Raw genomic sequence first — 27963 nt, 5'->3', positions numbered from 1 at the left:
CTAGACGCAAACATACATCAAATCGGGCCGAAGCCCGCTGTCGCCGCGCGGGCTGAACCTGGCACCCGGAGCAACGCGCGACCCCGGGACGAGACGCTCTCGTCCGAGCCAAACTACATCCCCCGGCGTGCACTGCAGCGCCCGCCCCTCGCCGGCCGGCGGGGCCCGGGAGGAAGGCGGCCGCGCTGCCAGTCCCGCAGGTCCCCTAGGCCCCTTTCGCTGCGGCCTTTCCCCAACCCGGACCCGGCACTTCTCGGGTTCCGCGACTGCCGATCGCCCCGGCGCGGCACCGCTCCCTCAGGAGTCGCCTAGGCCGCGCAGTCTCCCGACTTCTCGTCAGGCTTTCGCGCCGGCGCTCCAGCAATCACTGGCTGGAGAAGGTGGGCGTTCCGGCTCGAGAGGACCCTGCCGCGGCTCCGGAAGAGCCTCGTCCTGGGCGGCGGTGGTGCGGCGGTCGCCGTTATGGCCACTGGGCTGGGCGGCTGACCGCCGGGCTAGGAAAGGGCCCAGGGCCCCGAATCTCGGTGGCCGCTGCTCCAGCGCGGCCTGCGCCATGGCCTCCTCCGCCGCCTCCTCGGAGCATTTCGAGAAGCTGCACGAGATCTTCCGCGGCCTCCATGAAGACCTACAAGGGGTGCCCGAGCGGCTGCTGGGGACGGCGGGGACCGGTGAGGCGGGGGTGGGCCACGCCGTGGGGAGCGCAGCCCTGCGCGCTTTGGAAGGAAGATTCTCCCACCTTCCTCCCAGACCCGGGCCCGCGTCTCCTCCCTCCGCGTCCTCAGACACGCCCCCTAGGGCTGGCTTGTCCCAGCCCCAGGTCTCCCTGCTGCCACTGAGAGTAAATTGGACCTCGGGATTCAGTTCCCTGGGATCCTTCTATGGCCTTCCACATTTTCTCATCTTTTTTCACTGTGGCAAATAGAGCAGAGGGGCTTTTGCATCTGCGGTCCTGTAATGTAGAGTGGGTTTCTTTCATAGCTGTTTTTGTTTGTTTTATGCATTTAAAAGCACTAGTCTCAAGACAGGTCTAGTTTTCACCAGACTGACAGAGGATCCGTAGCACAGAAAAAGGGTTAAAAACCCAAAGGAGTCATAATTTGGGGGTGTTGGTAAATACCAGTTATTGGAGGGTAGAGAGCTGGCCTTTAAAACCTGATTGTGGCATTTAGATGTGGTCTTGTTTTGAACGTTTTTACAGCTGAGACTGTTTACTACCCCTTAATTTCATGATTCAGGTTGCTACAAGTTCTGTCTGGAGGAGCTAGAGTTTTCCGGCCCTAAATCCATAGGAAAAGCTGCTATAGTTCTTGGCCTCCGGATATATAGAATTTGATGGCAAGGACAAAACTTTGTTTTATTGCTTTTATTTAAGAGTCAGAGCTTGGGTGTTTGCTCAACGAATTACTCAAGGTCATAGGAATTGAATGACTGGTGAGAATGAAATTCATGTATTTAATATATATTTATTGTGAGGCTGCTGTGTGCTAGGTGCTGGTGAATTGTGAGGCACCGTTCTAGGTGCTGGTGAATATTGCAAATTACAGTGAAAAAGATACGAACATCCCCATTCTAGTGGGTAGGTGATAAACAATATATAACTATTAAGAGGCAGTGTTAAAGAATACAGGAAAGTAAATCAGAGTAAAAGAATAGGGGATGGGACTTCAGTTTTATTTTATTATTTATCATTTTTTTTTTTGAGACAGGGTCTCACTCTGTCACCCAGGCTGGAGTGCAGTGGCACGATCTCGGCTCACTGCAACCTCCACTTCCCAGATTGAAGCAATTCTCCTGCCTCAGCCTCTGGAGTAATAGGGATTACAGTTGCGCCACCACCCCTAGCTAATTATTTTTGTATTTTTAGTAGAGACAGGGTTTTGCCATGTTGGCCAGGCTGATCTCTAACTCCTGACCTCAAGTGATCCGCCTTCTTTGGGACTTCAGTTTTAAATAGGGCGGTTGTGAAAGTCCTCTCTGAGGAGATGGCGTTTGAACAGAGACTTAAATGAAGTGAGGGAGTAAACCAGAAATCAGGGAGAAGTGAGTGTCAGAAGGAGGGAATAGCACTGCAAATGCCTTTAAGCAGAAATGAGCTTGGTGTGTTCAGCGAAGAGCAGGAAGTTCCATGTGTTTGGGATGGAGTGAGCAAAGGAGAGCGATAAGCAGGGCCAGATCATGTAGGGCCTTGTGGACCATGGTGAAAGACTTGTGCCTTTTTCTAAATATGATGGGATGCAGTTAAAAGATACTGTGCAGAAGCATTGTGGGATCTGATTTATGTGATTGAAAAGTAGACTGCAGGCAGGGTACGGTGGCTCACACCTGTAATTCCAGCACTTGGGGAAGCCGAGGCGGGCGGATCACTTGAGGTCAGGAGTTCAAGACCAGCCTGGCCAATATGGTGAAACCCCATCTCTACTAAAAATACAAAAATTAGCCGGGCATGGTGTCAGTTGCCTGTAGTCCCAGCTACTCAGGAGGCTGAGGCAGAATTGCTTGAACCCAGGAGGCGGAGGTTGCAGTGAGCCGAGATCATGCCACTGAACTCCAGCCTGGGCAACAGATCAAGACTCTGTATCAAAAAAAAAAAAAAAAGAAAAGAAAAGAAAAAAAAGTAGACTGCAGGCCAGGCATGGTGGCTCACACCTGTAATCCCAGCACTTGGGGAAGCTGAGGCAGGAGTATTGCTGTGTTGAACGATTTTGAGACCAGCCTGGGCAACATGGTGAAACCTCATCTCTACAAAAAATAAAAAAATTAGCCAGGCATGGTGGTGCATGCCTGTAGTCCCAGCTCCTGGGGAGGCTGAGGTGGGAGGATCACTTGGGCCCTGGAGCTGGAGGTTGCAGTGAGCCAAGATCGCACCACTGCACTCTAGCCTGGACCACAGAGCAAGACTCTCCCAAAAAAAAAAAAAAATGTAGACTGCATTTTCAACCTGGCACTGAATTAATTTTTGCAATGCCCATTTCTATAAGTCTAAATAATGCAAAAGAACATTGCTTTGAAAAATAGAAAATTGAATTCATTATTACTATGGTTTGAATGTCCCCCTCTAAAACTTATGTTGACATTTATTTGCTATTTTAATCGCATTAAGAGGTGGGACCCATAAGAAATGATTAGACCATGAGGGCTCCATCCTCAGAGATTAGATTGTTATCCTGAGAGTGGCTTGGTTGTTGAGAGAGTGGGTTAGTTCAGCCCTCTCTTGCTTGCCTGCTCTCTTGATCTGTTGCCCTTCCATCTTCTGCCATGGGGTGACCCATGGGTAGCAAGAAGGCCCTTGAAAGAATCAGCCCTCTCAGCCTTGGGCTTCCCAGCCTCCAGAACTCTGAGAAATACATTTATTTTCTTTATAAATTACCCAGACTCAGCTATTCTGTTATAGCAACATAAAGCTAAGATAGTTACATTCACCTTTGTTGTCTACCCAGCCTTTTTCTCCATCCTGCAAAGAGGACAATCAGAAATATGTGAATTTCTTTTCTTTTTTCTTTCTTTTTTTTGTTTTTTTGAGATAGAGTCTTGCTCTGTCGCCCAGGCTGGAGTGCAGTGGTACAATCTCAGCTCACTGCAACCTCCACCTCCTGGGTTCAAGTGATTCTCATGCCTCAGCCTTCCGAGTAGCTGGGATTACAGGCGCATGCTACCACACCTAGCCAATTTTTGTATTTTTAGTAGACACGGGGTTTCACCATGTTGGCCAGGCTGGTCTCAAACTCCTGACCTCAAGTGATCTGCCCGCCACGGCCTCCCAAAGTGCTAGGATTACAGGTGTGAGCCACTGCGCCCAACCACAAAATACTCTAAGTTGCTGGTAACAGACATAGTTGTTTAATGGATAAGTAAAGAAAATATATACATATCCCTAGAATTATAATAAGTCCAACAACTTTACCTCTTATTCACTACCTCATTCACACTGCTCAATAAATGTTTGTTGAATAAATTGAATTTATCTAAGCAAACACATGGTGCCTCATCTCTGAATCCTCTTTTTCTAGTTCAGAGACCACATCATAAAGTTTTCAGAGCTTTAATGCCCATCATGAATTATTAGGCACAGCATAATGTACATAATACAGTCCTTGCATGTAGCTTATGCTCTGTAATTGAATTCAGTCATTTTTCAATAAACACTGAGAATTATTATGTATCAGCCACTGTCTAGGCTCTGAGGACTTCCAGAGTTCTTACCTTAAAAAGAAACAAACGGCCGGGCACGGTGGCTCATGCTGGTAGTCCCATCACTTTGGGAGGCCTAGGCGGGCGGATCACAAGGTCACGGATGGAGACCATCCTGGTCAACATGGTGAAACCCCATCTCTACTCAAAATACAAAAATTAGCTGGGTGTGGTGGCATGTGCCTGTAGTCCCAGCTACTCAGGAGGCTGAGGCAGGAGAATCGATTAAACCCAGGGGGCAGAGATTGCAGGCGACAGAGCGAGACTCTATCTCAGAAAAAAAAAAAGGTAACAAACCTTACAACCAAGTGTGTGATTAATCCTAAAATAAAGTTCTCTGAGACCATAAAAAGGGCTGGACTTGAGCATGGGGAAGAGGGGGAAGCTTCAAAAAACTTCAAACTGAATATAAGGGATTGAATGGGAGTTTGCTAGATGGGAAATGCGAAGAGGCAACACAGGAGTAAAACATGGAATACTCCCAACTCTGGAGCTTAGAATGTATGTGGGAAAGTAGTAGTAGAGGGGCAGGTGAAACAGCCAGATTGTGAGGGGATCTCAGTGTCACATTGAGACATTTGGACTTGATATGGAAAGTCAGTAAAGGACGTAAAGCAGTTGATTGATGTGGATTTTCTTTTAGAAGGAGGGCATTAATGGCTAGACAGGACAAGAGAGAGCACAAGAATCTGGGTACAGGGGACTGTGTTAAGAGCCTTTTGGGCAGTCACCTTGCTAACGGGAATTTGTTTGACACAGGTTCTCACTCCTGTCTCCCGTCATCCAGGCTGGAGTGCAGTGGCACCATCACTGCTCACTGCAGCCTTGGCTTCCCGGGCTCAGGTGATCCTCCCACCTCAGCCTCCCGAGTAGCTGGGACCACAGGTGCATGGCACCAGGCCTGGCTAATTTTTTGTATTTTTAGTAAGGGTCTCCCATGTTATCCAGGCTGTTCTCGAATTCCTGGGCTTAAGTGATCCACCCACCTCAGCCTCTTAAAGTGCTGGGGTTACAGGGGTGAGCTACAGTTCCCGGCCCAAGAGTTGGTTTTGAGGCAGAAATTAACCAGCCTCAATGGATATGAGGAGTGAGGGAGAAAGGTTCCAGGGTGTCTGCATTTTTTCACTTGGTCAACTGGGTGAATGATGAACTTAAGTAAGAAACATAAGAGGAGAAGCAGAGTTTGGGTTGTGGATGAGAATATCAAAGGTACCTGTAGAACAGAGATCATGACATAATATAGCCTTACAAAATGTTTCTTCTTCTGCCATTAAAAATAACATACGGGGGCCAGGTGTGGTGGCTCGTGCCTGTAATCCCAACATTTTGGGAGGCTGAGGCAGGAGGATTGCATGAGGCCAAGAGTTGGAGACCAGCCTTGGCAACATGGTGAGACCTATCTCTACAAAAAAAAAAAAGCTGAGTAGTGTGGTGCTGCTCACTTGTAATCCCAGCTGCTCAGGAGGCTGAGGCAGGAGGATCACTTGAGTCTAGCAGTTTGAAGTTTTAGTGAGCTGTCATCACATCATTGCACTCCAACCTGGGTGACAGAGCAAGACTCCGTCTCAAAAAAAAAAAAAAAAATTATGAAGAAGTATGTGAATTGAGAGGCCATATAGTATAATATTTAACAGCAAGAATTCAAGAGCCAGATTGCCTGAGTTTAAATTCACCTTCTAGTAGCAGTGTGACCTTGGACAGGTTACTTTAACCCAATTAGTTTTTCCTGCCAAATGGGGATAAATCATAGTATCTACTTCACAGGGTTTTTGTGAGGAGTAAATGAGTTAATATATGTAAAGTCCTTAGAATACTGCCTGATAATAGAGCTACTAGCCATTTTATTTAAATGAAAATTAAGAATACCAGCCCTGTATACAACTATTCTTACCTTTTTTTTTCCAGAGTACTTATTTTCTGACATATTAGACACTTTCCACATTTATGATATTTACAGTATATTGTTTGTCTTCCTTTCACTAGGACAGTGGTTTCATTGTGGTCCATGAACCAGCTGCATCAGCATCATTTGGGAACTTGTTAGAAATGCAAATTCTCAGGCCCCACCCCAGACCTATTGAATCAGAAAGTTTTAACAAGCAGTGTGTTTTCACAGCCCTCCAGGGGGTTTCTGATGAAGGCTAAGTGTGAAAGCCACTGAGCTAGAATATAAGCTCAATGTTGTCTTTTTTTCACTGTGTTTCCTAAGTACCAGAACAGTGCCTAGCACAGACTAGGTGCTTCATAGATACCTATTGGATGATGGAATGTGTGAATTGTTGGAAAGAAAATATTGATATATGATTGTGATTTATTTCTATTCTGTTGTCCACATTTTCATTACTTTAAAAATGGGTATATTCCACCTATTAAAACAACAAAAACTGTATTTCTCCAAAGTACAGTCTCCATTCACTTTCTGCCTTTGAATGATACTAGAGACAATGTGTCCTGTTTTAGGAAGTTTTTGTGTAACTGTCCATTACCACTTACAATAATTATTAATCCATTTAATATTTCATTAAATACCTATGGCCATAATTTCTACTCTTGGTTTTACAACCTCTGAAGAGGTCTCTCCAATTACCTCAGAGTACTATAATGTGCTATAATTTCTTAATCTAATCAATGTTAAATGCCTGTGGTCATGATTTCTAGTTTTGGTTTTGTCATACCTGAAGACATCTCTCCATATGTCTTAACGTGTATCATAAAAATATTGAAAGTTTTCCATTTTAAATCATTTAGATCAGTATGTATAACACAAGACCCTATTATTTTCAGAGCCAGAAAAAATAGTCACTATGGAGTACTATAATCAGCTGGCCGATAAACACCAATTACTTACAGACTGTAGAATTTTAACTATTCTAACTCCTCATTTTTTTTGTTTGTTTGTTTTTTGTTTTTTGAGATGGAGTGTTGCTCTTTCACCCAGGCTGGAGTGCAGTGGCGCGATCTCGGCTCACTGCAACTTCTGCCTTCCGGGTTCACGCCATTCTTCTGCCTCAGCCTCCCGAGTAGCTGGGACTACAGGCGCCCACCACCACGCCGGGCTAAGTTTTTGTATTTTTAGTAGAGACAGGGTTTCACTGTGTCACCCAGGATGGTCTCGATCTCCTGACCTCGTGATCCGCCCGCCTCGGCCTCCCAAAGTGCAGGGATTACAGGCGTGAGCCACCGCGCCTGGCCTCTAACTCCTCATATTTTCTACTGAATTTGGTTTTTGCTCTTAGGTTCTTCCTAAGTATTTACTTTCAGAAACAATGGTGGTTTCTATTTATTGAGCCCTTATTATATTTGGCACTTGCTAAGTGAATGTTATGTGTATTATTTCTTTTAACCCTTTCAAACAACCCTTACAAGGTCAGTAGTCTTATAGTCCCTATTTGCAGATGAGGAAACAGGTTGGTTGAGAGGGATCTCTGTTGCTTTTAACTCTTGTATGGTGTGGGATCTAGTCAGCTGTCACGGTGTACAAATAAAGGGTGTAAGTCCTCCATTTTGCCACAGTGAGGCACCAAAAGCAAAGTAACCACATATTTATGAGCTGGTGAAACTGAAGTTGTTTCCACAACTTTAAAGGGCCAAGATTAGGCATTCTTGGGCTGGAAATTCAAATCCCCATAAGGAAGAGAGGCTGCCCACCTTGGTCAAACATTAAGGTAGGCTTTCTGTAGTGCTGTTTTTCAGAGCTGTCTGTTTCCATTTTACTCCATGTCAGCATCCACCCAGTTTCCCAAAGGAGACAGAGTTGGTCCCAGAGAGTCCCTCACATGTGACTGATTTGGGCAGGCTTGTGGGGTGGGGGATAGTGGTATTTGAAGTGGTTCATTCTTGTTCATGGTGCCCATTCTCCCCAGGATGCCACCTTGCTGTTTGTAGTTGATTGTAGCATCAATTCTAACTCCCTAAAAAGAGGAAGAGGTTTTTTGTTTTTTCAACAGATTTTACCAGTTGTTAAAGGCTATACTCTGGGAGCACAAAAATGCCCCTCAGTTGTATACAGTATACAGTTGTTTAATATACAGAAAAGCCTTGGACTGGGAGTCAGCACACTTGCATTCCAGAACTAGTGCTGCCATACATTTGCTGTTCCAATGACTGTGGGGCAGGCACTCAGTTTCTCCAGGGTCTAGTGTCCTCAGTGGTAAAGGCAGGAAGTTAGACTAGATGATCGCTGAGGTACATCCTAGCTCTAGCATTCATTGGTTTCATAATTCTGAGCCTAAAGAATTTTTAAAAAGCTGCTATTGATCCCTCTCAGTTGGGTAGAGATCAGTCTCTTGAATTATCTGCCTCCCTGGCTTTATCATCACAAGAAATGATTTCAAAGGTTTCTGTTTTGTTTTGTTTTAAATCTTAGAAGTCCAGAAAGGATCTCATAAATGTAGTGAAGTTCTGTAAAAGTATGTTGTTATAGAGCACTTATAAGAGGAAATGTGTTTTATGAAATCAGGTAGGAAATGGAATATTCTAGCACACAGAAGTTAGTGAAAGGAGAGAGGTTCTGTGGTCTTCTTCTCCCCCTTTCATTTATGTAGTTACATTCCTGGAATCATTCTAGAATTTGCCTCTTGAGAATGCGGATTTTCATACCCATTAACAAAGGAAGAATAAAGGAGGAGAATTTATGACTAAACACAGTTGTAGAAAAGTCTAGGAAAGGAAGGAGCTAGGAAGGGAATGTACATATGTGTACAGTACTGCTTCTTACTGTCTGGCTTGGATCAGGAGTGAGCATGCCTGAGTTTGGAGATGTGCTGACTCAGAGCAGTGATGATGCTCAGCACTTTTGGGACAGCTTATTACAAAATAATACAATACTGCTCCATGGAAGTAGCCGTTTTTGACTGTCGGTATTATTTCAGTACTGGTAGCTAAGAACACATCCCCCTCAGGAACAGTAATAGCTGCCTTGGTGCTCATTTCAGTTACATCATAGATGGTCAAGAGTCATACCATTTGCCATGGTGAACCTTCCTCTACCTTTTTTTAAACAACAAACAGCCATGGGTTTTGTGAGTGGTATGGAGAAAATTGTCTGAAGTATCTTGTGTATATTAAGGGGGTGGCACACAACAATGAATGAGACATAGTAAAGGGTGTGTTGTCATTTGCCCTTTCAGGCAGTAGCCACATCTAAGGAGGTTTATAGTTCTAGGATCTATGGCACAGTAAAAATGACAAAATAAATTTCCATGTTTCAGAGGAACTTGGTCTCAAGTTGAGATTATAGAATATACGCATCCAAAATGATTTATGGTCACTTAAAAAGTGGGATACAAGGACAGGTGTGGTGGCTCACACCTGTAGTCCCAACACTTTGGTAGGCTGAGGTCGAGGATTGCCTGAGCCCAGGAGTCAAGACCAGCTTAGGCAACATAGTGAGGCCCCATCTCTACCAAAAAAAAAATTAGCTGTGTGTGGTAACCTGCACCTGTAGTCTCAGTTACTTGGGAGGATGAGGCAGGAGAATTGCTTGAGCAGGTGGGAGGATTGCTTCAGCCTGGGAGGTCGAGGCTGCAGTGAGCCGTAATCATGCCACTTCACTCCAGCCTGAGTGAGACTGTCTCAAAAAAAAAAAAAAAAAAAGATATAACTGACATTAGATGCTGTTGTGATTAACAAAATGTAAATCCATATAAAGCATTACAGTGACATTACATCTTATGTAGGATTGGGTTCAAAAGTCAGGGCTTGGCCGGGTGCACTAGCTCACACCTGTTATCCCAGCACTTTGGGAGGCCGAGATGGGTGGACCACACAAGGCCAGCCTGGCCAACATGGTTAAACCCCCTCTCTACCAAAAAATAGAAAAATTATCTGGTTGTGGTGGTGCACTCCTGTAACCCCACCACTCAGGAGGCTGAGGCATGAGAATCACTTGAACCCAGGAGTTGGAGTTTGCAGTGAGCTGAGATGACGCCACGGCACTCCAGCCTGGGCAACAGAGTGAGACACAGTCTCAAAAAAAGCCAGGTCTTAAGATGAAAATCAGAGTAGACAAATCATCTAAGAAAATCTCAGGACAGCAACTGAATACCCACATGCCATTTCTCCATAAGCCCGGCTCATCTGTTCTCTTTTGCAGCGGAAAGGCTGAGGTGGATGGATCACTTGAGGTCAGGAGTTTGAGACCAGACTGGCCAACATGGCAAAACCCTGTCTTTATTAAAAATGTAAAAAAATTAGCCGGGCATGGTGGTGGGTGCCTGTAACCCCAGCTGCTCGGGAGGCTGAGGCAAGAGAATCGCTTGAACCTGGGAGGTGGAGGTTGCAGTGAACCGAGACCGAGCCACTGCACTCCAGCCTGGGAGACAGAGCAAGACTCTGTCTCAAGAAAAAAAAAAAAATTGCTCTTTAGTTGGTGGAAGTGCTGCTGGCTTGTGTTTAGGAGTCACATTGAAAAATACATAGCTTTAAAAGGCCATATCCCCATACGTGCAACAGCATAGATGAACCTTGACTTTGTGCTAAGTGAAATAAGCTAAACACAAAGGACAAATATTGTATGATTCCACTTAATGGTGTACCTGGAGTAGTGAAATTCATAGAATGGGGAGGTATTTGATGGGTACGGAATTTCAGTTTGAGAGGATAAACAAGTTCTGGAGAACAGTTAGTGGTGATGGCTCCACAACGGTGTGAATGTACCTAGCCACTAAGCTATACCCTCACAAATGGTCAAAATGGTAAATTTTATATTACATGTATTTTGCCAGCCTAGGTGACCAGTGAGACTCTGTCTTGAAACAAACAAACAAACATTGTAAATGATGGTAACTTTATGGTGATAAGTAGATTATGTGTAGATTTCCAGGGAGAACAGTCATTTGGATGTATAAATTTTTTTAAAAAATCAAGCTCCTCTTAAAAGGAGCTAATTTTTGCTTGTTAGATATAAGGGAATGACCTACTTCCTCATTTTGTAGTCAATGAAGGAGAATGTGAGGTCCCAAAGAAATGAAGGAAATTATCTAAGTTTACATGCTGAGGCAGGCCCGAACCTGGCACCAGAACCTCACCCCGCTGACTAACCAGAAAAGGTGCTTGTATGCCTTTCCCCCATACAAATGTTTACCAGGTGACAGCATTCTGGTACCACCTTCATAATTTTTGCCATCCGCAAGTATCATTATTACTGTCACTTACATTTTATTTATTTATTTATTTATTTTGAAATGGAGTCTCCCTCTGTCGCCCAGGCTGGAGTGCAGTGGCACAATCTTGGCTCACTGCAAGCTCCGCCTCCTGGGTTCACACCATTCTCCTGCCTCAGCCTCCTGAGTAGCTGGGAATACAGGCGCCCACCACCACACCAGGCTAATTTTTTGTATTTTTTAGTAGAGATGGGGTTTCACCGTGTTAGGCAGGATGGTCTCGATCTCCTGACCTCATGATCCGCCCGCCTCGGCCTCCCAAATTGCTGGGATTACAGGCGTGAGTCACCGTGCCCAGCCTTGTCACTTACATTTTCTTTATGTCAACTTATTTCATGTAAAATACATTTATTTAAAACAATGTTATTTAAAAATGAAACTTGCTATCATATTTTAGATGGAAAACCTGTAGTATAAACTATCAGAAAATACAATTAAGACAATACTGTTTTAGTTAGATGTTTGTTTTGAAGCTGAAGCCTGTTCTATTTTTGTTCAAAGGGGAGATTAGTAATTTTTAGGTATTAAAGATACACTCAACCAAAGGGACAGAATGGGAAAGGCTGAAAGGGGAATGAATAACGTTCTCATCGTTCAAGTCATTGCCGGTGCCACACCCAGAGAAAAACAAGCACCACACCAGACAGCCTCTCAGCAAGCCGAGTAGGTGGAATTTTTATTTTGCAGAAAAGTAGTGTACGAGTTAACATAGAAGTGGTTCACTGTGGGAGTGGTGAGGGGTTTCAGAGAGTCACTATTGGTAAACATTCTTTTTTTTTTTTTTTTTTTGAGACAGAGTCTTGCTCTATTGCCCAGGCTGGAGTGCAATGGCGCAATCTCGGCTCATTGCCACTTCCACCTCCTGGGTTCAAGCATTTCTCTACCTCTGCCTCCCAAGTAGCTGAGATTACAGGTGCCTGCCACCACGCCCGGCTAATTTTTGTATCGTTAGTAGAGATGGGGTTTCACCAGGTTGGCCAGGGTGGTCTTGAACTCCTGACCTTGTGATCCACCTGCCTTGGCCTCCCAAAGTGCTGGGATTACAGGCATGAGCCACCAGGCCCTGCCATAGGAAGCTTATTCGAAGCAGAGGGAATGGCCTTTACAAATGTGTGGAAACAGTAATAAGCATTTGAAACTTATCTATCTTTTCTAGAAGAAAAGAAGAAATTGATCAGGGATTTTGATGAAAAGCAACAGGAAGCAAATGAAACGGTGAGAACAAGGAACAAATTTTGTTTCTTCTACCTGGTGTTGGTCTTTTCCAGAAGTAATGCTATGAGCTGATCACAAATTAACTGTTCCTGTCCATTGATCTTGATTTTGACTATTTCTTACTAAATGAAGCCAGTTGATGGGGATGGTTGTTGAGGGGGTTTGGCAAACAAATGGGTGAAGCCTGAAGATGCTCCTGAAATGTGACTCTTTGGTAATATATTGCTGATGTGAGTAGTAAGGGCATTCTCATACTTTTACCCAAGCAGTCTTTTAAAATCTGTTGTTTTTTTTTTTGTTGTTGTTGTTGTTGTTTGTTTTGAGACAGAGTCTCGCTCTGTTGCCCAAGCTGGAGTGCAGTGGCACAGTCTCGGCTCACTGCAAGCTCCACCTCCCGGGTTCACACCATTCTCCTGCCTCAGCCTCCCAAGTAGCTGGGAATACAGGTGGGCGCCACCACACCTGGCTGTTTTTTTGTATTTTCAGTAGAGATGGGGTTTCACCGTGTTAGCCAGGATGGTCTCGATCTCCTGACCTCATGATCTGCCCGCCTCGGCCTCCCAAAGTACAGGGATTACAAGGCATGAGCCACCGTGCCTGGCCTAAAATCTGTTTTTAAGAGCTGGCCATTAAGATAGGTTACTGGTCAGTGCGGTGGCTCACGCTTGCAATCCCAACACTTTGAGATGCCAAGGTGGGAGGATCACTTGAGGCCAGAAGTTCAAGACCAGCCTGGGCGACATAGGGAGACCCCCCATCTCTACCAAACAAAAAAAAATTACCGAGGTTTGGTGGTGCATGCCTCTGGACCCAGCTACTCAGGAGGCTGAGGTGGGAGATCACTTCAGCCTGGGAGGTCAAGCATGTGGTTAGCCACAGTTGCACCACTGCACTCCAGTCTGGGTGACAGAGTGAGACCTGCCTCAAAAAAAAAAAAAAAAAAAAAAGGTTACTGTTCTTTGTTAAACCTACTGTCACAGAAAATGTAGTTTAGAGGTAATTCTAACCATGTCCCTTTCTGTCTTAAGAGACAACATAGGAGCTGGAGTTGGTACCTCAGGCAAGACATGCATGAGTCTCAGTTGGTACCCAAAGTTTGTCAGAAGTTGGTTCCGTTTACTGAACAGTTTAACAACTGCTTCTCTTCACCTGTGGCTTTTCTTTAAAAAAAAAAAACTTTTTTTTTTTTTTTTTTTTTGCTCTAGCCCTATAGAAGCAAGAGTCCTTTGACTCCATCTCATCATACTCTAGCTTCAGCAAACTCATTAAGATTGGGGCCAAAATTCTGGTCGCTGCTAGTACTCCGCAGAAATAGTTGGCCCTGTATTTGCTACCCGAGAGCAGATGGAGAAAAAATTCTCTTTTGGCCAGCGAACTTCCTTCTTGCTTGTTGAAGATCAGTGTTTCAATTTCCCACTTATCCCAATGAAGTTCTGAGAAGGAAGCACATCTGCATCCTTTTCTCTGTTTTGCATCTGTTTTAAGAAAGACCAGGCCACTAGACTGTGGGAACTATCTTCTTCCTAATGGGAGTACTGGGAGCTTTTCTTAATACCTGTGTACAGCTGGGCATATCCATGATACCTGTTTGTAGCCATTCTCCTGTTTCAGTTAATACCTTGGTAGCATTTTTAAAATCTTCTAGCTGCTACTGATTTGTTTGATGCTCAGATACTTGTTTTCTCCAAACTCAGCAAAAGTAATAATCCTATGCTGCCCATTCCAGGCAGATGAAAATAATTTAGGGCCTCTTGTGGATGTGTCCAGGTGTTACATTTTACTTACCCCAGAAAAATGGAAGTCTGATTCCCCTAAAGCAGACTGCTCTGGGTAGGCCCCTGTTCTCTCTGACATGGAGACAAACTTAATTGATTTTCAGAAAGAGGAGCAGGAGAAGGGAAGAACCCTGATGCCAGACCCCTATCATTTTTAATACAGTAGACTTCAAAGCACTTCTTGATGGCAATGTTCAATCATACCAGGCTAAAAACTTGGTATATTGAAGAGAGCTGAGAGAATTTGAAGATTTTGAATCCTGACTCCTTTTCTGTTTAATTTTTTATATATATATAGAGATGAGGTCTTGCTATGTTGCCCAGGCTGTGCTCAAGTGATCCTCCTGCCTCGGCTTCCCAAAGTGCCAGGATTACAGGTTTGAGCCACTGTGCCTGGCCCGGACTCCTTTTTGTGCGATCTTCAGAGGTTTCTTTAAGTCTTATATATGAAATGGAGCATTTCCTACCTTATTGATTTGTTGTGAGGATTAAATGGAGAATGTATATAAAAGTGTTTAGTAAGCTATAAAGTACTTCTGTTTTTCCATTCATTCATTCAGTTCATATACTCGAATGCCTGCTCTGTGCTTGCTGGGCACTATGCAAGGCATTCAGAATGAGGGGAACATGCCAGACATGGTCCCTGCCTCATGGAGCATATGGTTATTTACTTGGTGTAGTCCAAATAAATAAGTAGTTTGATTAGTCCAAACTAGGCATATTTCCAAATGAGTGAGGGAAGAACCAGGCTATCTGCTCACTACTTTCTGCCTTCCCAGCTGGCAGAGATGGAGGAGGAGCTACGTTATGCACCCCTGTCTTTCCGAAACCCCATGATGTCTAAGCTTCGAAACTACCGGAAGGACCTTGCTAAACTCCATCGGGAGGTGAGAAGCACACCTTTGACAGCCACACCTGGAGGCCGAGGAGACATGAAATATGGCATATATGCTGTAGAGAATGAGCATATGGTAAGTTTTAGCTGTTTTGTTTGTTTTTTTTTTCCTTTAAGGGCCTGTGGTACAAAAATTAACTATATTGTTGGGGTATTTCATGTTATCAGTGTATACTAGACTCTTGTTTCATTTTTTTCACCCTTATCCTCTTTTCTGCATCCAGTTCCTGTTACCCCTTGGTATCTGCTCTATTTAAGGCAGGCCTTTCGAACTATATGCATATTTAGATTTCTTTTTATCCTTAATATAATACAGTCTTATAATAAAAAAAAAACAGTGCTTTGTATGTAGTAGAATGTAAATGTTACCTATTCTTATTATCTGGATTCTGACTCATTGATCTAATTTCTTTTCTCCTTGATCTTTTTTATTCTCTCATATAAATTTTAGAATCACTTTCTCAGGTATGCCTGGAAAATTCAGTTAGGTTTCTAATTTATCAGAATATTGTTACAAAATCAATCCAAGCTTTCCTTTACCTTAATGTCAAGATGGCCCAGCAACTGAGATACAGTAGCCAATGCAGGGCGCTTCTCGAGAAGGAGCTTTTTATCATTTTATTCTGTGGTAATAGAAAGTGAGCAAGACTCCCTCTCTAGCTTTCAGGATTCTGATTTATAAAATTGGACTAATTGAACATCTGTATTCTGAAACCATCTAGAGCAGCTAGATCGTTAAAGGAATAAAACGTCTGAAAGATTAAATGTGCTGCATTTGGTCTGTCTTCCACAAACACAACACAAAGTAGAAATTCTCTGGCAAGTAGCATGGCAGAGAAATGGAAAGGGGCCCACCAGTGCAGACTGAAAGGCTCATACTACAATTTTAAACAAATCCTGTTTCACGATGCATCCTGATTATAGTTTAAGAGATATTCAGGATGATATTGGCTTGACATTGCTGATGCCAAAACTAGATCCCTTGAGAATGAAGTACTTAAAATTTTCAAATGGATGCGCGAGGGATTATCACAGATTAGAAGCTGACAGAAGATCACTTGTAAAGGGAGACTGGAAACAGGCAGGCAGGTGGAGCTGGTTAAAGTGGGAGTTGTAAAAGTGACTTTAGTCATGTTGCCAAAGTTGGGGAGGAAGTCCAAACAATTTTGCTTTAAAATTATGAGTTTCAGAAATTATTATTATTTTTTTTGAGACGGAGTCTCGCTCTGTCACCCAGGCTGGAGTGCAGTGGCGCAATCTCGGCTCACTGCAAGCTCCACCTCCCGGGTTCACTCCATTCTCCTGCCTCAGCCTCCCAAGTAGCTGGGACTACAGGCGCCCACCACCACGCCCGGCTAATTTTTTTTTGTACTTTTAGTAGAGACGGGGTTTCACCGTGTTAGCCAGGATGATCTCCATCTCCTGACCTTGTGATCCACCCGTCTCGGCCTCCCAAAGTGCTGGGATTACAGGCATGACCCACCACGCCTGGCGAGTTTCAGAAATTATTAAAACATAATTTAGGTATCCATACCTTCAGAAAAAGTATTGTTCCAAATCTGTCTGAAGTTCATTTATGTGATCTGATCTTTTCTTAGTCATTTTTTAGCCTACTCAGTTGAAAATCTGCATCTTTTATTTTGAAAACCTTTTTCCTTCTTCCTTTGCGCTAACCTAACTGGTTTTATTTGAACCTCATTCAGTGGTTTCCTCGTCTACTGGTCTGTATGCCATTTATTAAGTGAAAATGCTACAGAGCGCCGGGCACAGTGGCTTACGCCTGTAATCCCAGCACCTTGGGAGGCTGAGGCTGGTGGATCACCTGAGGTCAGGAGTTCGAGACCAGCCTGGCCAACATGGTGAAACCCTGTCTCTACTAAAAATACAAAAATTAGCTGGGCGTGGTGGCGGGTGCCTGTAATCCCAGTTACTTGGGAGGCTGAGGCAGCAGAATTGCTTGTGCCCGGGAGGCAGAGGCTGCAGTGAGCTGAGATCTTGCCACTCCACTCCAGCCCGGGCGACAGAGCGAGACTGTCTCAAAAAAAAAAAAAAAAAGAAAGAAAGAAAATGCTCCTTGCTACTTCTGTTCTGGGAGCCAATCTTTTGGCTCCTTGATGGTCCTACTGCCAGTGGTCACTTGCTCTGTACTAGGCCTCTGTGAGCTGGGTCCCTTTTGATTTTGGGTGTGTGTGTGTGTGTGTGTGTGTGCACGCGCGCGCGTGCTTTGAACAGCTAAGAACTTGGAGCTGCCTCCGTTTCTGTCAGTGGTTGTTAATTCTGGCCTGACAAGGCTACTTTTTTCTTCCTGCTGTCTGTATTTAGGATTACAGGTGGAGTAAAACTTCGGTGGGGATTTAGAAAATTAGGGCAGTTGAGAAATTAGGGCAGGTGGGGAAGCTTGCTCAAGCCCCAGATACTAATTTCCCTGAGACCAAATCACCCCCAGTGTGGCAGGCTCAAGGTTTTTTGTTTGACCTTAGGTGAAGTTCTTTCTGGGGCTCACCAAGAGGGTAACCACATACGTTTTTTCCAGAATGTGGTAGTGTCTCAGACTTCTACATGCTTTCTTTAGAAGCTGAAAAAGAAGAATGTAGTCATCTAGGCAATACCACTCTGAACCTGCCTGATCTCAGAAGCCAAGTGAGTCAGGCCAGGTTAGTACTTGGATGGGAGACCACCTGGAAATACCAGGTGCTGGAGGCTTAAAACGAAGAACAGAATAGCTTATTCATGGTCCGTCAATCCTCAGTACCAGTCTAGTGGGAATCTTCAGTGAATTAACCTTTTTCTAGGGCTGCAGAGTTTAGTTGGTTTGCCCATAGCACTATCGAAGTTACAGGCTATATGCATTATCAGGTAGCTCCCACATCTGGGCTGCCACCTTTCAGAAGTTGATAGTCCAGGAGGCACATGGACCAGTTCAGATTCATTACAAACACAGGGAAAGTGCTCCAGTATTTTTAATCCATCTTTCCTTGCCTCGCGTAAGTGTAAAAGGCAGTGGAGTGGGGGTATTGTGATCCTATTGATTGGATTTCAGGTCCTGCTTTAGTCTGTGACCTTGAAAAGAATCATTAGCTTCTTTGGTTCTGTCTTAAAAGGAATGAAAATTATTGCTCACTATATCCCTTCTAACATGGGGAAGGTGATGAGGAATATGCTGGCAATGAATTTATAATGGAAAAAGTCTAACATTTCTCTTCCATACTTCTTTCAGAATCGGCTACAGTCTCAAAGGGCAATGCTTCTGCAGGGCACTGAAAGCCTGAACCGGGCCACCCAAAGTATTGAACGTTCTCATCGGATTGCCACAGAGACTGACCAGATTGGCTCAGAAATCATAGAAGAGCTGGGGGAACAACGAGACCAGTTAGAACGTACCAAGAGTAGAGTAAGTCTGGGCAGACAGGGAAAGGGGCAAGTATGGGGTAATTAGGGGGCCACTGCACCTGGAAACCGTACTAAGGCCAAAAGCTACAGCAGTTCTGTATTCAGGGAATAGTCTTTTTTAAGTTCTTATGCTTTTCTCAATTTTTATTTATTAATTTTTTTTTTTTTTTTGAGATAGAGTCTCACTGTGTCACCCAGGCTGGAGTGCAGTGGCGTGATCTCCACTTGCTGCAACCTCCGCATCCTGGGTTCAAGCGATTCTCTTGCCTCAGCCTCCTGAGTAGCTGGGATTACAGGCATGCGCCACCATGCCTAGCTAATGTTTGTATTTTTAGTAGAGATGGGGTTTCGCCATGTTGGCCAGGCTGGTCTCGAACTCCTAACTTCAGGTGATCCACCTGCTCCGGCCTCCCAAAGTGCTAGGATTATAGGCGTGAGCCACTGTGCCCGGCCGCTTTGCTCAATTTTTAGTTTGCTTGGCTGAGAGATGTCCCTTAGAAGCAATTTTACCCCTAAGATTTAGACATCACTGGAAATTTTTGCTTCAGTGAGGGGAAAAAAAGATGGAAGGACCTGATTTCTACACTTACAAGATTACAGAAATTAATAAGGATAAAGTGGCTGCATTCTCTCTTTGGCAAGAGAAATAATATGTCAAAAGGCACTTAAGGATTCAAAGCTTCCAATCTGAGATTTTAATTTCTCACACATCTAATAGGGTATTCTGCTATTCTTACGAAAACATCATCTGCTTATATCCTGTTATTTAGAGCCAAGGCTGTTTTCCAGATTTCATAAAATAGTACCACAGTTTATAGATTTATAAATTATGCTTCAATCCTGGACTATAACCCTTTACTGTTATGTAAGTAAAAGTAAAAAAAAAAAAGTAATAGGGAAAAAAATGTCTAAGGATTATCCAGTAAGGTAAGCTGGATCATTGTGGAAAGAAAACAAATATTTAAATCAAATGATGACTATATCAGGGATCTCTAGTCTGCTGTCACTCTGAGAGCCTCAGAAAAATAACTCATTTATTTTTTCCTTTCCATAAATGAGTTAACCTACATAGGAATTTTTTAGTTTTTTAGAGACAGGGTCTTGCTCTGTCACCCAGGCTGGAGTGCAGCAGTGCAATTTTAACTTACTGTAGCTTCAAACTCCTGGGCTCAAGTGATCCTCATGTGTAGCTGCGATACAGGCATGTGCTACTGTGCCTGGCTAATTGTTTTAATTTTTTGTAAAAACGGGGTCTCATTATGTTGCCAAAGTTGCTCTCGAACTCCTGGGCTCAAGCAATCATTCCACCTTGGCCTCCCAAAGCGCTAGGATTACAGGCATGAGCCACTGTGCCCAGCTGGAATTTTTTTTTTTTTTTTTTTTTTTTTGAGATGGAGTCTTGCTCTGTCGCCCAGGCTGGAGTGCAGTGGCGCAATCTCGGCTCGCTGCAAGCTCCGCCTCCCAGGTTCATGCCATTCTCCTGCCTCGGCCTCCCGAGTAGCTGGGACTACAGGCGTCTGCCACCACACCCGGCTAATTTTTCGTATTTTTAGTAGAGACGGGGTTTCACCATTTTAGCAAGGATGGTCTCGATCTCTTAACCTCATGATCTGCCCGCCTCAGCCTCCCAAAGTGCTAGAATTATAAGCGTGAGCCACTGCGCCCGGGCAAAATTTTTTAATTGGTACAATTTACCAATGGAATGCTGTATTCTTAATAGCAGAAGGCAAATCAATTTGAAAAACATACTGTGGCCAAGATTTGGACAGGAAAATACTAGCTCAGTGTGAAGATTTGAGTAGATTTTCTTAATAGCTTCAGTTCTCCATTAAGTCAGAGTAATGCCCTGCCCTCTTCAGTGAAAATTCACAATAAAGTACTACATTCAAGGCAAGCTATGGAGAATGTAACTTGCTTACAGATTGTGTGGGTTTTGGTTTTTGAACATACCAGGTAGATTGGTTGAATTTAAAAGCCAAGGAGGCCGGGCTTACACCTGTAATTTTAGCACTTTGGGAGGCTGAGGTGGGAGGATGGCTTGAGCCTAGGAGTTTGAAACCAGCCTGGGCAACATAGCGAGACCTCATCTCTAGAGCGAGACCTCATCTCTATAGCGAGACCTCATCTCTACTAAAAATCAAAAAAAGGAGCAGGGTGTGGTGGCGTGCACCTGTGATCCCAGCTACTTGGGGACATGTGGGGTTATTGCTTGAGCCTGGGAGGTCGAGGCTGCAGTGAGCTGCGATTGCAGCACTGCACTCCAGCCTGAGTGACGGAGTGAGACCCTGTTTCAAATAAATAAAAGCCAAGGAACGAGCTGAGAGGTCAGCTTACCAAGGCCACTGGGGAATGGGAACAGATGGCAAGTAGCCATCTGCTGGAGGTGAAATATCCTCCAGCTGTCCAGATTAGTAGCAAGCAGTTGAAAGTTCCATGGAGGTTAATTCTTTTCACAGTTCAATGTAACTGTCTCTTAAGAGGGTAAAGAAAAAAACCAGATCCCAAAAGCAGTAACAGACCAGCCTACAAAAACAAATGCCAACTCAAGAGGCTGTCCTGGAATTTGGCTGATGAAATTCAAATCTTAAGTTGCTCTACAGTCACTGGCTGGCCAGTCTGCTGGCTACACTTGAAGCCTTCCCTTTTGGAGTAGCCACGGTAGAAGATTAGCTCAGTCTCAGGAGTCCATCCCCAGCAGCAACCTGGGAAGATGATTCTTAAGCCTACTTGATGAGTACTAAAATATCTTGTCCTTTCCAGGTTCTTCTACTTACACTCAAAGGCCATCATTTAAATTGGCTTGATTTCTTGGAATTTTTCAACATATATCCCTTAATGCCTACTGTTAATCTAGGGATATTCAATTGTACAGAGTATACTTTTTAAAGAGGGAAATAATCACTATTTTCTCTTCTCAGCTGGTAAACACAAGTGAAAACTTGAGCAAAAGTCGGAAGATTCTCCGTTCAATGTCCAGAAAGTAAGTTTTATTAAAGTCATGAAATTTCTCTTAACTCAGTGGCTTTCAACCAAAAAGCTTAAAATAGTGACTTACAAAGGTCCTCATAAAGCACCTCAGCAGTTGACGCATAGTCCCTGTATACTCAGTACCACCCAGCAGACCAGAATAAAGACGCTAAGGAATATGGTCTTGGATAATTAAATAACTCAGGATAAAATCATTTGTTAAAAGTATATACTGCTTTGACTTGGAGCAGTGAAAAATTTCTCCACTGAAAGGACATTTAATCACAGCTGATGTTCTTTAGAGAAGGCAACACATGGGAATAACAGCTTCCTATTCCTTGAAATATATTTATATAATCTCAGCCCCGTGCGGTGGCTCATGCCTGTAATCCCAGCACCTTGGGAGGCTGAAGCGGGCAGATCACAAGGTCAGGAGTTCAAGACCAGTCTGGCTCAAATGGTGAAACCCGTCTCTACTAAAAATACAAAAAAATTAGCCAGGCGTAGTGGCGGGCACTGTAATCCCAGCTACTCAGGAGGCTGAGACAGAATTGCTTGAACCTGGGGGGTGGAGGTTGCAGTGAGCCGAGATGGCACCACTGCACTCTAGCCTGGGGGACAAAGCGAGACTCCGTCTCAAAAAAAAAAGAAATATATTTGTAAAATCTTGATTAGAAAGTAGTTTTCACTTGCATAGTACTTGCTTTTGGCTCTGCTTGCCCTTCATGGGAGTCAGCTCCTTTTCTGGAAGTTCTATATTGTAGGGAAGAAGTAGACTTTTAAAAATAAAACCCTTGTGGAGTTGTCAGGGTTCTTGGGCAGTAACTGAGTCAAGATGCTGCAGAATCTGCTGGCACTGTCAGGTTGCCCAGAGGACCATGAGCATTGCTTCATGCAGGCATTTTGAAAATAAAGGTCCAGAAAACACAAGCTGTTTCAGGAGAAGAATGGAATTCCAGTGCATCTAAAGGGTGGTAGAGCTGATGACCTCCTGTATAGAGCCACCATGGTTCTCAGTTAGTGAAACAGCATATGCCATGCATCAGCTGGCTGTGGTTTCATTTCCCAAGAAATGGGATTGACTTCAGTCATCACAGCAGTGACTTGATTCAGTTTCATTCAGCTCTGTATGGACTCCTAGTCCATAGAGAATAAATAAGTCCTTCTTTGAAGACAATATTTGAATTGTACTAACTGCCACCAATACAGTAGTCTTTACCAAAAATAAAAAACAAAATCCTCGAGTGCTAACAGCAACAAATCCAGGGCAGAAATACTGCCACTGAGGTTGAAGTTGGGGGTAAGAGGGTATTGTACGTGACCTTGGGCACAGGTGGCCTAGCATGAAACAAAACTACAACCCACTCATGGAACTAGCAGGAGGGGTGGGATTTTCCTACAGTGATAAATTCCTTGTGGACTAGGGAGAAACCTAGAGTGAACATGAGAACCAGAGGTTGGATTCTTTATGTAAACAACAGATAGGAAAATTTTTAAGCTCCTATACTACCTTTATAACATACCCATTTGGGTTGATAGGAGAGCAAAGGGAAAAATAGGGCAGAGGGAAGAAGTTTACAAGGGATTGAAAGGTATTACCCAGGCTTCTAGTTACTTATCCTAGGGCAGGACCCATCCTGAGCTGGATGTCTATTTGATTACTTTTTCTAGCTAACCCTTCTTTCTAGAAAAGCTATTTTTAAAGGAAGTAACTACTATTTGAACAACATTTCAGAATCCATTTTTATGCTTTGGTTTTTATTGTCTCAGTTTAACATTTCTGTGAGGTAGACAGTGTTATCCCTAAGTGACAGCTAAAGAACCTTATGAGTACTTCCTGCTAAGTGGCTGTGTGATCAAACATACAGCCTCAGAGTATCCAGCCGTGGTCCCAGGTCTAACCCCAAAATGTTTAGAAGGAAGGTTATCCAAACTTCTGACTACTCCCCACTTTGCTTCTCTTTGTAGAGTGACAACCAACAAGCTGCTGCTTTCCATTATCATCTTACTGGAGCTCGCCATCCTGGGAGGCCTGGTTTACTACAAATTCTTTCGCAGCCATTGAACTTCTATAGGGAAGGGTTTGTGGACCAGAACTTTGACCTTGTGAATGCATGATGTTAGGGATGTGGATAGAATAAGCATATTGCTGCTGTGGGCTGACAGTTCAAGGATGCACTGTATAGCCAGGCTGTGGGAGGAGGGAGGAAAGATGAAAAACCACTTAAATGTGAAGGAACAACAGCAACAAGACCAGTATGATATACCAAGGTAATAAATGCTGTTTATGACTTCTTTAAATTTACATAGTACTGTAGCATATTAATACCCTGTGAACTGCAAAAAACCAAATACATTTACAGTAGTATTGGTCACCAAAATAGAGGGGAAACTTTACAATTGTGAGAATGTGTAAATGTTCTCATTAAGGCAGTATTGACCCAGACAACCATTTAGTATTCATCTATCCCCTCAATGCCTCATAATTCTGGAATGCCTGTTGTGAAACATGTCAGTGCACAGTGTCTCCTAAATTCTCACACGTGCTTGATTTTCTGATTCATCTGGTGAACTGGGAGTAGGAAGTTGGTCATAGACAATATGCCCTCCTTCTCTTGTCTGACCAAAGCTTGAAGCAATCACATCTACTGCCAGGTTAGCTGTAGTCTTCGCCTCTTCCTCTGAGGTGGCCAACTGAGGATTGACTTCAACAAGATCCAGTGCTGATAGCAACCCTGGAAGAACAAAGTGTGACAAAACCTCAGGTTCCCTTGCTGCTACTCTCAGTGAGGGTCATCCCACTGGGACAGGGAGAACAAGCCAAAGTAAAAACAAGAGTCCATTTTATAGTAGAAAATACCTATTTTTAGGAAGCCCCTTGCACCTCATCCTCTTGGCCATGAATTTAAGTTAAAACACTGTTGTGCTATAGTAGATTAAAAGAAACCTTTTAAGATAATGAAATAAACCATCCCTGTTCAACTAACATAACAGGCATAATTGTCAGGCGTTCTGGAAAAGGAAAAGGCTTGGTGTTGGGTGGGGGAGGTTTTCATCCTGCTTGTTGGCAAAATGTATGCCACCTCCAGTATGACTAGGAACCTTCCAGATGCCTGCCTGGAAATGAATCAAGTATGAAGGCAGAGGAAATCTGCCACTTGCACTAGCCAAACTGCATTCCCACTTTTGAACTCTAATGTGTTATCTGTATCTGTTAGAGCACCACACCATATGCCCTGAAATGTAGTTATTACTGCAAACTTCATTCTCACCCCTGCAGGCCTGAGCTCTGGAGGCAGGTTCCACATCTAACAACATCTTTTTGTCTCCCAGCAGACTGACCCAGTGTCTTGTACTTGATCAAGAGAAAATTCAGCCATATGTTAATTATTTTATCTGGACTTCAGTTACCTTCTGTTAAGGTTTGAGAACTTGTGTCAAAGTTCTCGGTAGTGTTCCTTTGGCCTGGAGCAAGTGGAAGGGAAGCTTAAACCAGAAGAACCTATCCAGACCTGCTACTATGCTCACCCCTCTAAATGCCTCACTTCTCTATAGAATTTAACTTTTTAGTTGGTTATTCTGGATGAAGGGTGATCTGAACAAGCTAGTATTCAGGAATACAAGTATCTAAGAATATTTAGGGTGGCCATAAAGTCTGGAAACACAGGCAAATGTACCTAATGGTTTATTGATATTACACTATAGTACATGATGTGCTGAATGCCATCATGTCCGTTCAGCATCTTCCCTTATTAGCAATGCATAGTTGAGTGTACAGTGCCAAACTGCAACCAACAGGTGTATTACTGTAGCATTTCCATCATTTCCTGCACATGGACCTGTGTTCCTGATTTGTCTCTGATTTCCACTGACTAAACCTGCACCTTTAGCATATCCCAGAAGTGGTCATCAAAGTTTGCACTATTAGAAATATATACATGACTTATGTTTCCAGACTATTGCCACCCTATAAATTAAGCAAACTGCTTTATGTATCTAGTTGACAGCATTATAACAGTGCAGTGGCACAATCATGGCTCACTGCAGCCTCAACCTCCCAAGTAGTTGGGACACCTGGCTAATTATTTTTTGTAGAAACGGGGTCACACTATGTTGCCCACGCTGGTCTTGAACCCCTGGGGTCAAGTAATCCTCTTGCCTTGGCCTCCCAGAGTACTGGGATTATAGGTATGAACCACTGTGCCTAGCCCCATGAGTGTCTTTTGGAGTAAAATATTGTAGCATAGGAACAAAGAGACAAGCCATGCCATATATAAGTGCTAGAGGTTATTAACCCCTGCTCTAAGTGGTGTTTTTAGGAAGCAAAGCAGAGAATTGAACCCCCAAGTTCTCTGGCCAATAACCTAAGGACCACTGGCAACATCTAAGATTGCAGATCTGAGAATTAGACCAGTACTGCCTGCCTTTTTGTACTGCCTAAGGTTCTGGCAGGCTGTGGCGCTAAGGAGACCATTTCTCAATGTGAGTTTCTATCCCAGCTAGTCAAGGGTTCTCTATAGCCCTGAACCTTTCAATCTGGGGTCTCTATCTATACCCTAGTTCCATCAGATGGTTACTGAAGCAGTATGATTTGGTAGTTCTTTAAATTTTGGAATGAAAGGTCATTTGAAGTAGCTTTAAAACCAGAAGCTTTCTGACAGAAATGGAAACTGTTTGCAAACAAGTATGAGTTTTGGAAAAGTAGCCAGTCTTGATAACGTAGAATTCATCTTAGTACTCTTTCCATCAGCCATTCTCATCTAACTGTATCCCCCTTATTAGAAATCCTTTCAGGCTCTAGTACAAGACCTACCCTACATAAAGGACCCAAGATATTGTCCAGTTTGCAGATTTCTTCAAGAGATCAGCTTTAGCTCCAAATTCACAACTCCCAATGAACCAATCTCTTAGAGTGCAAATTACAGCCTTGCACTCTTATCTTATCTTGCCTTCTTATCTTAATCTGCCTTTAGATAACTCAAAGAACTGCATCAGTTTGACAATTTATTCTTGTATTTAATTGTTTAAATATACAATTTTTTACTCATTATTACCTTAGTGTAATTTGGTAAGAGCCATGTCCAAGCATGACTCTAAAGGACTATATCCTTTTTATTAGCATGGCCATATAATTTTTAGCTACAAAAGTTTAAGCAAAAACAAACTCTGCAATGATGTGGAATAGCAGAAAAGATCCTTTGCAGGCAAGAGACTCTAGCATATTTACCTATGTAGTTAACAGGCTGCAGACCTGGTTGCTACATACCTGTATTGTGTATTTCCTCAGCAATATACATGCCTTCTCGATAGGTTAGTCCCCCGACAACAGGAGTTCCTGTGGCTGGAGCCAGTGTAGGGTCAAATGCATCAATATCAAAACTCAAATGGATTGGTCTTTGTCTCCTAAAAAGGAAGAGGATAAAATAATACTTAAAATAATACTTAACTGGTTGTCCTTGGACACTCATCCTTCTTATGGTTGCAACTCCTTGATTTTGTTGCTATTAGTCCTAGTACTTTGTTAATAAAGCTGTTAATACATTTCCAGGCTTCCTATTCTTGGAAGTTACTGAGATTGGCAATATTAACTTCCTACATACCACTTCATGATACTGCCATTTGTTCTGCATACCTCAGACAGACTAACTCCAATGTATATTTCTGCCTTACACTGGGTATTAGAACCTCTTATACTAATAACTGTCAATAGAGAGATTTCTTCACTTCTAGATGAGATTGGGCTCTCATCTAGAGACAATTTAATTAGACAATTTAAATTAGTCTAATTTAAATTGGCTTGATGTAAGTTATGGTTGCTCTTATTCTCTGAACGTAACAGCAGCTGAAGTGAACTCTAATTTTAGGTCTGCAGTTTTAACATCTTCCATTTCTAACTTCATTATAGCCCCAGTGTCCAAAGGCTGAAGCTAACAACTAAGTTTCTTAACAGCTTATGAAATGACATACTACCAGATAACAATTCTGACATTAATCACCCAGAAGTAAAGACTTGGTATTGGGAAAATGCTCTTAAAATTACCATTTGATTAGTATTCATCTGCCATCTTTCTACACTGCCAAGATTTGCTTAATATAAAACTCAGATGAAACAATCGTGAGGCTGGGAAGAATGGGACAGTTGAAACAATAAATGCTTGTCATCTCAGAAGATAAGCATTAAAGATGGAGATAAAGAAAAATTCATGAGACAGAAGATCTAGGCAATGATTTAGAGGAAACCTCCTCCCAAAAACCCCAGAGGAAGAATATGACCTGTGTTTCAAATTTTGCCTTTCTGAACTATTTAAAATTATGTGTATGTTTTTGCTTTGTATTTTAAAAGTAAAGCTGCTGTCCTCAAGAAACAGGC

At 43.2% G+C, this 27963-nt stretch overlaps 3 protein-coding genes and 2 pseudogenes across 3 annotated transcripts in view, besides 4 other annotated features; 3 read left to right on the top strand and 2 right to left on the bottom strand.

The window, feature by feature from the left end:
• The window catches only part of GPHN (gephyrin), a 1227209-nt gene that overhangs the window by 60313 nt on the left and 1138933 nt on the right, over nt 1–27963 (bottom strand). The gene's annotated exons all lie outside the window — the stretch shown is intronic.
• Nucleotides 87–526: a silencer, noted in NCBI's record as "silent region_5864". NCBI's record gives its function as "represses an Ori minimal core promoter by ATAC-STARR-seq in GM12878 lymphoblastoid cells {active_cell/tissue: GM12878}" and the evidence as "EXISTENCE:reporter gene assay evidence [ECO:0000049][PMID:35858748]".
• Nucleotides 411–27958, top strand: VTI1B (vesicle transport through interaction with t-SNAREs 1B). Its single transcript, NM_006370.3, has 6 exons — nt 411–668; nt 12508–12566; nt 15121–15312; nt 18454–18627; nt 21545–21606; nt 23562–27958. Exons 1-6 carry the CDS (start codon nt 554–556, stop codon nt 23656–23658), a joined length of 699 nt encoding a protein of 232 aa, NP_006361.1. The 5' UTR covers nt 411–553; the 3' UTR covers nt 23659–27958.
• Nucleotides 627–736: a silencer, noted in NCBI's record as "silent region_5863". NCBI's record gives its function as "represses an Ori minimal core promoter by ATAC-STARR-seq in GM12878 lymphoblastoid cells {active_cell/tissue: GM12878}" and the evidence as "EXISTENCE:reporter gene assay evidence [ECO:0000049][PMID:35858748]".
• Nucleotides 6199–6248: a silencer, noted in NCBI's record as "silent region_5862". NCBI's record gives its function as "represses an Ori minimal core promoter by ATAC-STARR-seq in GM12878 lymphoblastoid cells {active_cell/tissue: GM12878}" and the evidence as "EXISTENCE:reporter gene assay evidence [ECO:0000049][PMID:35858748]".
• Nucleotides 6259–6388: a silencer, noted in NCBI's record as "silent region_5861". NCBI's record gives its function as "represses an Ori minimal core promoter by ATAC-STARR-seq in GM12878 lymphoblastoid cells {active_cell/tissue: GM12878}" and the evidence as "EXISTENCE:reporter gene assay evidence [ECO:0000049][PMID:35858748]".
• Nucleotides 17832–17938, top strand: RNA5SP386 (RNA, 5S ribosomal pseudogene 386; annotated as a pseudogene).
• On the top strand, nt 22414–22814 carry COX7A2P1 (cytochrome c oxidase subunit 7A2 pseudogene 1; annotated as a pseudogene).
• The window catches only part of ARG2 (arginase 2), a 31789-nt gene continuing 27160 nt past the window's right edge, over nt 23335–27963 (bottom strand). The window contains exons 7-8 of the mRNA NM_001172.4: nt 26860–26996; nt 23335–24328 (exon numbers count right to left, since the gene is read on the bottom strand). Coding sequence (NP_001163.1) covers nt 24123–24328; nt 26860–26996 — 343 coding nt within the window. The 3' untranslated portion in view covers nt 23335–24122. The remainder of the gene's footprint in view (nt 24329–26859; nt 26997–27963) is intronic.

This window comes from Homo sapiens, chromosome 14 (genome assembly GCF_000001405.40).
Source record: "Homo sapiens chromosome 14, GRCh38.p14 Primary Assembly".
NCBI lineage: Eukaryota > Metazoa > Chordata > Mammalia > Primates > Hominidae > Homo > Homo sapiens.
Note: the sequence above shows the minus strand (reverse complement) of the source record. Positions and strands in the feature narration are given on the sequence as shown.

Excerpts from the sequence above, each read along its gene's own strand:
- VTI1B (NM_006370.3), top strand. The coding sequence starts at position 554 with ATGGCCTCCTCCGCCGCCTCCTCGGAGCATTTCGAGAAGCTGCACGAG. Across the intron at positions 12,567-15,120 it reads AACAGGAAGCAAATGAAACG|CTGGCAGAGATGGAGGAGGA; the intron begins GTGAGAACAAGG and ends CTGCCTTCCCAG. Across the intron at positions 21,607-23,561 it reads CTCCGTTCAATGTCCAGAAA|AGTGACAACCAACAAGCTGC; the intron begins GTAAGTTTTATT and ends TTCTCTTTGTAG.